This window comes from Homo sapiens, chromosome 12 (genome assembly GCF_000001405.40).
Source record: "Homo sapiens chromosome 12, GRCh38.p14 Primary Assembly".
Lineage (NCBI taxonomy): Eukaryota > Metazoa > Chordata > Mammalia > Primates > Hominidae > Homo > Homo sapiens.
In genome coordinates, this window is record NC_000012.12 from 127,558,735 (window position 1) to 127,570,259 (window position 11,525).

At 44.8% G+C, this 11,525-nt stretch overlaps 3 annotated features.

The window, feature by feature from the left end:
• Positions 551 to 1,750: an enhancer, noted in NCBI's record as "P300/CBP strongly-dependent group 1 enhancer chr12:128043830-128045029 (GRCh37/hg19 assembly coordinates)". NCBI's record gives its function as "activates an origin of replication core promoter dependent on BRD2, BRD4, P300/CBP, MED14 and CDK7 cofactors, with strong dependence on P300/CBP, by STARR-seq in HCT116 cells {active_cell/tissue: HCT116}" and the evidence as "EXISTENCE:reporter gene assay evidence [ECO:0000049][PMID:35650434]".
• Positions 9,605 to 10,109: an enhancer, noted in NCBI's record as "H3K4me1 hESC enhancer chr12:128052884-128053388 (GRCh37/hg19 assembly coordinates)". NCBI's record gives its function as "activates a minimal SCP1, AML or CMV promoter by ChIP-STARR-seq in primed H9 embryonic stem cells {active_cell/tissue: H9 hESC(primed)}" and the evidence as "EXISTENCE:reporter gene assay evidence [ECO:0000049][PMID:30033119]".
• Positions 10,110 to 10,614: an enhancer, noted in NCBI's record as "H3K4me1 hESC enhancer chr12:128053389-128053893 (GRCh37/hg19 assembly coordinates)". NCBI's record gives its function as "activates a minimal SCP1, AML or CMV promoter by ChIP-STARR-seq in primed H9 embryonic stem cells {active_cell/tissue: H9 hESC(primed)}" and the evidence as "EXISTENCE:reporter gene assay evidence [ECO:0000049][PMID:30033119]".

Here is an 11,525-nt window from a genome sequence, read left to right on the forward strand (position 1 = left end):
TGAGCCCCTGAGGTCATAGGAAGGGAAGGCCAATTCTACACACACAGTTATTGACGGAGCGGGGCAGCACGGAGCACCTAAAGCACTAATACCTTAGTGACTAGGGAGGCTGCTCTGCAGAGGGGAGAACGGGACAGATACGGTCACTGAGGCTAAATTCTAATGACCTCCATTATTCTTCTCTTTTAAAAAATATTTAAATATTTATTTTTATTTGTTAAACTCTTTACCTCTAAGAACAATATTCTGTTCTGTTATTAAAACGTTCTCATGAATACCAGCTATCTTAGCATCATGACTCAATAATGGATTACGATCTATAGTTGGAAAAAAAGATCTGCTTTACAAGAATTTGGCATTTAAGTGAAGTCCTGCAGGTGAGGAGATGAAGAGTGTAGGGCAAACAGCACTCAAGGCTGTGGGGTCCGTGTCGGTGTGGGTCTATAATGGGAAAGAGCCTGTTGTGTTTCAGGACCTAGAGAAAGGCCAGTGGGGCTCCTATGCATTGAATGTTTGGGAAATTTTTACAAAATAAGATTAGGGATGTACACAGATGGCCAATCATGTGGGGCTTCCCAGGACCATAGAGAGAGTTTAGATTTTCTTCCAACAACAGTGGGAAGTCACTGGAGGGTTTTTAACAGGTGAGTGACATTATCTCACTTTTGTACATTAAAAAAATATCAAACTGGAAGTCTGGGTGCTGTGTGGGGAGTGGGAGGAGGGATTGCAAGACTGGACGGAGAGAGGCTACTTTGCAGGCTGCCATCAGATTCAGGTGAGGGTGCTGGTGGCTGGGAACAGGTGGTGACAGAGGAAGTGCTAAGGTCATGTTGAAGGGCAGCCCACAGCCCCTGAGTTGGTTTTTCTGTGTGGCCTGAATTGACCTGAGTGAAGTATTAGGGAATTCTGGGTGCCAAAGGCTTGGTGGTCAGTTGCATTTATTGTTAGTTACGATTCCTTTGAAAGATGCTTTTAGCCAACAGGAAATGTAGCCCTTAGAACGTTTCCAGGAATAAATCATTTTCTATAAACTATAAACAGGAGCACCACTGCTGAAGATAGACTTGGCATCCTGTCGTGACGTGCTGCTCTCAATGCGGAGATGAATAACGCCTGTTTGCTAGCAGGCAGGATGTTGACTCAGCTGCCAAGTGGTTTTGAGGTTGATCTGCTTTATTAATGGAAACCGGTGCTTCTCTGGGCCTAACTAGCTCCATGGCGCCCCTGCTGGGCTGCTTCAGAGGGTTGTGTCCACGTGTCCTCTGTTGCCCTCTCACATTCTGCAGCGTAAGGTACGGGTTTCACTGTGGAGTTTGTGTTTCTGTTTTTGTTTTCATGGCATCACCAGCAGGAGAAACTTGTGTTTGTTTCTGCTCTATTGTGGAGAGAAGATGGGAAACGGGCAAGCAGTCCCCTCCATGGAAATGGATGTCAGGTCAGCCTACTCCTTGGGATGCTGTGCGGAGCTTTTTGAACCTTTCAGGGACACTGAGTCACCCTGTGACATCACCTAAAGGACCCAGGGGAAGCACAGATATGACAGGAGGGCTTGGCGACTGACCTGGGAGACAACTCTACCTCTCATCCCTTTACTGACTTGCTGTATGGGGTTAGCTCCCTGCTAAGCCTCTCCATTTTAGTTACCTCTGTTGAAAGGCCAGGTTCAACTAATTTTGGCCTTAGTGACTGATATGGTTTGGCTGCGTCCCCACCCAAATCTCATCTTGAATTGTAGTTCCCATAATTTCCACGTGTTGTGGGAGGGAGCCAGTGGGAGGTAATTGAATCATGGGGGCGGTTACCTCCATGTTGCTGTTCGCGTGATAGTGAGTGAGTTCTCATGAGATCTGACGGTTTTATAAGGGGCTTTCCCCCCTATTTTGCTCCGCACTTCTCTTTTCTGCCGTCATGTGAAGGACGTGTTTGCTTTCCCTTCCACCATGATTGTAAGTTTCCTGAGGCCTCCCCAGCCATGCAGAACTGTGAGTCCATTAAACCTCTTTCTTTATAAGTTACCCAGTTTTGGACCACTCCTTTATAGCAGCATGAGAATGGACTAATCAATGACTATTCAGCTCTTTCAAATATAAGCAGTGTTCTATTAGCTCTTGATTTAGAACATCCAGTGTGCGAGGAGAAAAATAAAAGATTGAACCATCTTGAAAGCATGTGTAAACACAGGGAGAGGCAGGGAATTGTAGCAACATTTAATCTACCGTGAGAATCTATTGTTAGCTTTTCTTACACCCCTCAATAAGCTTATACACAGGGTTTTATTGACCAGAGTATGTTACTAAATTGCTGAAATATAACTTATTTAACCAATTATTTTTGTGAGTTAAAAAACTTTCTCAATTTTTGATATTAAGCAGAGTTTCAATAAATCTTTTCATATGTCTTTGTCCACCTGTCTTATTTCCCTGGATTACTTATTAACATTGAATGATTAGTTTAATTTTTGTAAATAATTTTAGAGACTTGCCATACATTGACAAAATATTTTTGCTGGAAATTTGAGCCAATTTATGTTCTCACTGGTGGTGTAGAAAATGCTTATACATACTGAAAGTGGGTAGTACCAATTTATTTATTTTAATACTTGCTAATTTGGCAAGTAAAATATTATCTTGTTTTTATTTATATTTCTTTATCACTTGTAAGGTAGAATTTTTGTTCTTATTGATTCCTGATGTTTATTCTTTTGAAAAATAGGACATACATAGTTGAAACATTTTGAAATTTTTAGCAACAGTAGGTGCATTAAGGCTACGTAACTAACAATTCTCCAATCTTTTCCTCAATAATTCATTCAAGAAATATTTTTTGAAAACCTATTTATACCGGGCATGACTTTAGGAACTGGGAATTTTACAAGGACCAAAACAACAACATCTCCGTCTTCATGGGACTTAGATTCTTTAGAGGCAGCCACAAAATAAAATACATACGTAATGTAAGTAGTATGTTAGATCATGAAAAGTGCTAAAAAGAAAAAATAACATGAAGCCAGGAATGGATAGCATATAAATGGGTAAGATAAATGTTTGTAATTTAGAGAGAGTCCAAGGAAATTCTCTCTGGAAAGGTGGCATTTGAGTGAAGATGGAAGGAAGTGGGTGGATGAGCCCTGTGGAATATATATATATATATATATCTTTCCACCTCCTCATATATATATAAATACATATGTACATACACATATATATACATATATATATATACACACATATATATATAGATAGATAGATTGATTTTTTTTTTTTTTTTTTTTGAGACAGGGTCTCACCCTGTCACCCAAGCTGGAATGCAGTGGCGCGATCTCAGCTCACCGCAGCCTCCGCCTCCTAGACTCAAGCAATTCTTTTGCATCAGCCTCCGAGTAGCTGGAATTATAGCACACACATGCCACTGCCACCCGGCTAATTTTTGTATTTTTTGTAGAGACATGGTTTCGCTACGTTGGCCAGGCTTGTCTTGAACTCCTGACCTCAAATGATCCACCCACCTTCCCAAAGTGCTGGCATTACAGGCGTGAGCCACCGTGCCCAGCTTCTTGAATAATAAATAACCTCTCATTTTTCCTCCCACCTTCCTCGCAGTAATAGTTCTTGGCACATTGCATTTTATATGAACCCCAGACTCATTTTAAACACCATCTGATATAATAACCTATGCAATTTTCTCTTCGAATAGCAATGAAAAAATAATGATTACAATAGTGGATAATGTCATTATCCTGTAGCATCCATGCCATGGTGTAGAAGACTGAGTGCAGCCGATAGAAAGGAGTGAGGGTGGGTTTCCCCCCACGCCACTGAGAAGAACTGGTGGGGGAGGACGTCTGCTTGGCCCTTACGCTGACATTTTGATGGATAAAAGGGCAACGTCTCCCCTTCCCTTGGTACATTCACTGTCGTCTCAGCAAAATTTAGAGCTATTGTGACCAGGGATTCTCAGTCTCAGCACTATTGATATTTGCGGGGCCGGGGGTGGGGATATTTGTGGTGAGGGAGTTCTGTCGGTTTTGGGATGTTTAGTGGTGTCCCTGCATTCTGCCCATTAGGTGCCATTCCCCTGCCCTGAAAACTGACAACCAACAATGTCTCAAGACACTGCCGATGTGCCCTGGGCTGGAAGCCTTGGTCTAGAATAAGCAGATCAAGATCTGCTGTAACCCCATTAGGAAGGAACACAGTGAACACTTTCGAAACCAATAGTCTTGGCTTCCATGCCTAGGGCCCTGCAGAAAGGGCTCCTGTTTCCTGCTCACTTTGCCCACAAAGTCACTGAGTCTTTTTCTTTGCAAGGTCTGGGCCCTGCTTATTTTTGAGCAATGATGTCATTCTCAGGGTGGGGGCTAACTTAGAGTTTAGTAGCTTTACTATTTTCTTTTCTTTACTCATATTGTTTTTAACCCCCTGTGGACCTTAGAACCTGACATTTATATGGGTCTTGCAAAAGTCATAATGGAGTTTTCATCCCATGTAGGGTCAGGGAAGGGTGCACTGGGGGTTTGGGGTGGCTACAGCAGAGGAGCACCCTGGGCAGGCAACTCCCAAGAGGAAGAGAAACTGAAGACCATGGATGTCCCCCCACCTGCTGAAGCTTGAGAGTTCTCGCCCACTGAGTGACCCAGCCAATATCCACCTGAACACGCACCGGGAGGTGCTAATATGATGCCATAGATTGTGCTTTATACAGATGCACCGTGATCAAGATGGTGCTGTTCCCATCGTAGATGGTGTAGCTTTGAGTGTCTAGCAAAGCAGCTTAGTAGCAGGTGGCAAGACAGTGTCCTGTCCTCGTCATATCAGCAGATGATTTGCTTGCTAACAGATGGGCGTAAAGTATTTTGAGAAAGGGGTGCCTTTGTCTAATTCATAGTTGTAATAGACAGGGTAGTAATGGCCACACGGTCACTGAATGTATTGCTTCCTGAGCTACTCCGGAGCAGTAATTCATTCCATTATATTTCTAAAATGTTGACTGAGCCCCCATGACATGCCTGAGGCATAAAAGGAACAAAGAATATGATCCCTGCTGCGTGGGACTTGCATGGTTATAGGAGAGGTAGAAGATCGGCAACCAGGGATACACTGGATTCTGTGTTTGCAGTTGTAATAAGCGTTGCCAAGGAAGAGTCCAAGTCTACGTGAGAATGCAAAAAAGAGGGAGGCTCAACATGGTGTTCCAGAATGAACAGGTCAGGTGAGTGGAGTCTGCTGGAGAAAGCCATGAAATTTAGACTGAGGAGAGTGGACTTTTACCTTATAGTCTAGAGTCTCCAATGTGGAAGACATATAGCCTTAATGGCATGATGATTTCAGGCTCTCCATTTAACAGTGGGCATAACACAAAACCAGACAGTAAGAGAGTGACCTGTACTCAGTTCTCTTTAAATCTTTGAGACTAGTTCAAGAAGAAAATATGAGGTTGGTGTTGCTATACCTTTGTTACCTTTTTACACTTGATAACCTTGCTCTATCCCCTCCCTACAAGGTACGGGTGTTCATTATACATTATTTAACTTTTTATTTTGAAATAATTATAGATTCAGAGGAAAATACAAAAAAAAATGTATCGTATACCGTTCGTCCAGGCTCCCAGTGGTAACACCTTGTTTAATGTCAGGAAAAGAAAATTGACATGGTACAATCCACAGAGCCCGGTCAGATTTCACCAGTTTTATAAGTATTAGGTTGGTGCAAAGGTAATTGCAGTTTTTGCCATTAAAATAATGTCAAAACACGCAATTACCTTTGCACCAACTTAATACTTGTGTGTAATCCTTGTCCTTGTGTGTGTGTGCTTGTGTCTAGTTCTAGGCGATTTTGTCACATGTTTAACCCCCATCCTTTCATCTACTTCTATGAGAGTCCATCTTTTCTGCCATCATGGACTTCCACTTTCTATCTGATCAATTTTTGATCTCTGTTAGCAAGCAGGTAAGTACCAGGGAGGCAAAAGTCAGGGTCTGTTCTATATCATCTATGTCAATAAGTGTTTGGGGGATTTTTTGTTTAGGACACCAATCAGTTGACCTCCCTGCCTAAGGTTGTATCTGCAGAGATGAGAAGAACACTTGGCTTTGGGCTGACTTGGCTCCACTCATTTTTCCCACAAGTATTTATTGAGCATCTACTAACTCCGGGCCTTGTGCCCAACACTCTGGATCCCACACTAAGGGAGGTAGGCCAGTCCTCCATGCTCATAGAGTTCACAATGTAGAGTGAGAGAGAGGCAATTGACCAGAAAATAAGCTAGATCATCTCAGAGACTGAGAAAAGATGTGATGGCAATAGCACAGCATGGGAAGGTAGAGACTCACTTGAGGTGGAGTCGGCTTCACAGCAGGCAGGTGGGGGAGTGAAGGGAGGATCCTGCTGGGGGACATGCGGACAGAGACCTGGATGATGCCTAGCCTCCAGCCAAGGAGGGAGGAGCGTGGAGGGCTGGGCCACTGACCAAAGCTCCTCATCTGCAGAACCTTCAGGGAAAGTGGAGCCTGGATTCTGTGTCCTGAAGCCACTTGGACCTTCTCATGGACAGGACTCTTTGCAGATGGTTGATTTCATCTGTGGGCTGGATCCATCATCCCTCCTTTCTCTTTAGATAGCAAGCTTCCAACCTGTCTTCCTGTGACTTCCTCACCTCTCTGGCATTGGCATCAAAGGCTGTTGCAGGAGTGTGGACCGGCCAGGTGACGCAGAATCAGCTTGGATTTTTCCGTCTGCTCTGCCATCTGTAACTCAGTAACTCAGCAGCCAGGGCTGTTTTATCCTCCCCTCAAGAGAGGTGACCAGTAAATTTAGAGTTGAGAAATGTGTCAGAAGTCTTTGAAATTGGTGGAAGGAACCACGAAGTCTATCCTGAGGCAAAACTGACAGTCAGACAAAGACCATGACTTACGTTTTTACAAAAGAACTAAATTGGCCGGGCGTGGTGGCTCATGCCTGTAATCCTAGCAGTTTGGGAGGCTGAGGTGGGTGGATCATGAGGTCAGGAGATCGAGACCAACCTGGCTAACACAGTGAAATCCCGTCTCTACTAAAAAATACAAAAAAAATTAGCCGGGCCTGATGGCGGGTGCCTGTAGTCCCAGCTACTCGAGAGGCTGAGGCAGGAGAATGGCATGAACCCAGGAGGCAGAGCTTGCAGTGAGCCGAGATCATGCCACTGTACTCCAGCCTGGGTGACAGAGCGAGACTCCCTCTCAAAAAAAAAAAGAAGAAGAACTGAATCAACCAGGTAGAGCCTGGTTTGAGGTGACTTCTCTTGATTTGAATTCGTTGGCACACATGGCCACGTATTATTTGGATTCAGAAGGAGAAACTGCGGGTACCTGCACTATAACTACTAAACAAGAAAAAAACTTCATTTTCCAGGCAACCTACAGAATGGGAGAAAATTTTTGCAATCTACCCATCTGACAAAGGGCTAATATCCAGAATCTACAAAGAACTTAAACAAATTTACAAGAAAAAATCAACCCCATCAAAAAGTGGGCAAAGGATATGAACAGACACTTCTCAAAAGAAGACATTTATGCAGCCAACAGACACATGAAAAAATGCTCATCATCACTGGCCATCAGAGAAATGCAAATCAAAACCACAACGAGATACCATCTCACGCCAGCTAGAATGGCGATCATTAAAAAGTCAGGAAACAACAGGTGCTGGAGAGGATGTGGAGAAACAGGAACACTTTTACACTGTTGGTGGGAGTGTAAACTAGTTCAACCATTATGGAAGACAGTGTGGTGATTCCTCAAGGATCTAGAACTAGAAATACCATTTGACTCAGCCATCCCATTACGGGCATATACCCAAAGGACTATAAATCCTGCTGCTATAAAGACACATGCACACGTATGTTTACTGCAGCGCTATTTACAATGGCAAACACTTGGAACCAATCCAAATGTCCATCAATGATAGACTGGATTAAGAAAATGTGGCACATATACACATGGAATACTATGCAGTCATAAAAAAGGATGAGTTCATGTCCTTTGTAGGGACATGGATGAAGTTGGAAACCATCATTCTGAGCAAACTATCTCAAGGACAGAAAACCAAACACCACATGTTCTCACTCATAGGTGGGAATTGAACAATGAGAACACATGGACACAGGAAGGGGAACATCACACACCGGAGCCTGTCATGTGGTGAGGGGAGGGAGGTGGGATAGCGTTAGGAGAAATACCTAATGTAAATGATGAGTTAATGGGTGCAGCAAACCAACATGGCACATGTATACATATGTAACAAACCTGCACGTTGTGCACATGTACCCTAGAACTTAAAGTATAATAAAAATAAATAAATAAAAATAAAGAAAAAAGTTCATTTCCCCATAATTCAGATGGTGGGAAGATAAAATTCCTGGCTGGTCGCGGTGGCTCGCACCTGAAATCCCAGCACTTTGGGAAGCCGAGGCGGGTGGATCACTTGAGGCCAGGAGTTCAAGACCAGCCTGGCCAACATGGTGAAACCCTGTGGCTACTGAAAATACAAAAACTTAACCGGGCATGGCAGCGGGCACCTGTAGTCCCAGCTACTCAGGAGGCTGAGGCAGGAGAATAACTTGAACCCGGGAGGCAGATCTTGCAGTGAGCCAAGATCATGCCACTGCACTCCAGCCTGGGCAACAGACTGAGAATCCATCTCAAAAAAAAAAAAAAAAAAAAATTCCTAAAGAAATAAATTAATAATTTAATAAAATTCTTAGGAAACTTATTGGCATGGTTAGGGTTTTTTGTATTTGTTTGTTTTTAAACAAGGAGCAGTTGTGAGAAGGAACATTTTCATAAGAGCCTGCTGTAGGTTCAAGTCACTGCAGAACTCTAGATGCTAGATCACTCAGTCAGTAGGCTGACCCATCGAATTACCTGTAAATGGATTCATCCCCACGTTGTCTGTCTGCCTCTCCTCTGTTTATCATCAATCAGATCTTGATCCACTTTCTGTGCCTGGCAGTGTTCTAAGGTCCTGGCCCTCAACTGGGAGCCATCCAGACAAATGCTATTTCTTCCCTTGTGGTTCTGTTCCAGAGTATGGACAGTCTATGAGCCTTCAGATGGTGATGAGTACTTTGGAGAAAACAATATAAAACAGGCCACTGGGAAAGAGACCACTAGGCTGCTGGACAGAGGGCTGCTTTATGCAGGTGGTCATAGAAAGGGAGTTTGAGCAGGCAGCATGGCAGCAAAGACCCAAATGTAGAATGCTGGTGTTGCTCAAACCAGTATCAGGAGATGAGAACATTACAGACAGAGGGACTCACATGTGCAAAGGCCCTGAGGTAGCAGTAACCTCAACTGGTATGGAGAACATGCAGAAAATCAATTGGGCTGAGCCAGAGTGGTAGGAGGACAGAGAGAAGAAGTGTCATGGGGTCTTCCTCACCATGGTGTGGGTCTGGATTTATTCTAACCATCTAACCAACAGAAGCCTCCTAGTACACATATTTTTGGATAATGCAAATTTTTTTCAGCGTTTTCTATAGCATGGTGCTGTCCAGTAGGAAAGCAACAGTGAGAGAGAGAGAGAGAAGAGGGGGAGAGAGAGAACAGAGAGAGATAGAGAAAAAGAGAGAGAGAGGGGAGAAGGAGAGAGAAAGGAGAGGGAGAGAGACAGAGAGGAGAGGGAGAGAGAGATGAGAGAGGGAGAGGAGAAAGGGAGTGAGAGAGAGGGAGAGGAGTGAGAGAGAGAGAGGAGAGAGAGAGTAGAGGGGGAGTAAGCAAGAGAGAGAGGAGAGGGAGAGAGAGTGAGAAAGAGGAGAAAGAGAGGGAGAGAGAGAAGAGAGGGAGAGAGGAGAGGGAGAGAGGAAGAGAGAGAGGAGAAGGAGAGAGGAGAGATAGGAAGAGAGAGAGGGAGAGAGAGAGAGAGGGAGAGAGAGAGAGGGAGAGAGAGAGGAGAGGAAGAGAGAGGGAGAGAGAGGAGAAAGAGAGAGGAAGAGAGGGAGAGAGAGAGAGGAGAGGGAGAGAGGAGAGAGAGAAGAGAGGGAGAGAGAGAGGCAGAGGGAGAGAGAGAGAGGGAGAGAGAGAGGAGAGGGAGAGAGGAAGAGAGAGAGAAGAGAGAGGGAGAGAGAGAGAGGGAGAGAGAGAGAGGGAGAGAGAGGAGAGGGAGAGAGAGAGGAGAGGGAGAGAGAGAGGAGAGGGAGAGATAGAGAGGGAGGGAGAGAGGGGGAGAGAGAGAGAGGGAAAGAGAGAGAAAGAGAGAGAGAGGGAGGGAGAGAGGAGGAGAGAGAGAGAGAGGGAGAGAGAGAGGAGAGAGAGAGAGAGGGAGAGAGAGAGAGAGAAGAGAGAGAGAGGAAGAGAGAGAGAGACAGAGAGAGAGAGAGAGACATGCCCAAGACTGCAACACTATGTCCATACAAATTAGCACACATAGAAACATGTTTTAATACCCACAATATAAATCTTTTTTATTCCCATGAACTCAGTTCTGAGTAGTCTCCAAACATTGGCAGCTCAGTATTTCCTGGGTTCCACAAAGCCTAGGCTGGTCACCAATGTGGTCATGCATTTAGGGGCAAGGCATGGCCACTGCCATCTTAGCTTTGACACTCACCTCCTTCAGCACAGGGGTGAGGGGCTCCAGCTCCCTTATGTCTGGTAAGAAACCCCAAGCCCCCTCCAGGCACCCTAGCAGCAGACTTGAGAGGAAGTGGATATTCCCTTCTAGGTGGGGTATTGGACAAGCGTGGGTGTCTGTCCAGGAGCAGCATTGAAAAGGCAGGAGCTAGTGGCAAGGTGAGGAGGGTCTTTGGAATCTCAGGATGGTCCCGTTGTGACCCTATTACAGGTCAAATCCCCTGAGCACTTGTTCCCCAACAAGGCTGTCCTTTCTCTCCAGGAAAGGACACGTGGTTGTTCATGGCTTACACACTGAGACAGTGTGCAGGCACCACCTCCACAGCCGGGCAGTGTGCTTAAACCAGGGCTACTACATAGAGGAGAGGCTCTGAGCCTCCAGAGCAATTTGTAAAACCTGCAGGAAGAGGAGTTATGGTAAGATTATTATTATTAACAACAACAACGATTGGAATTTATTGAGCACTTACTGTATGCCAGGCTCTGTGCCAAGCGATTGATTCCTTCCTTCTTTCCATCCTCCCTTCCTTTATTTTCTTCCTTTGGCTCTTCCTTTATTCATTATTCAATCAACAACCTTCATCTTTGGATCTATACATTCAAAAAGGCTTTGCTATGACCACTCTGGGTCGGGCACTGTTCTCAGACTGGGGACACAGTGGCAAACATGAGGGAGACAGTCCCTGCCCTCAAGGAGCTGATGTTTGGATTGGGAAACAGACACAGACACGAGAAGTTGCGATGATGACACATATTATGGAGAGAACACCACCAGGTAAAGGGATAGAGAGGCAGGGGTGGGTGGGGGCCATTTTAGAAGGGGCCATTTTAGTGGGGAACATTTTAGTGGGGATGACTACTCCAGGATACCCCACCTAGGAGGAGATATCTGAACTTCAGCCAGGTGAGAAGGGATCAG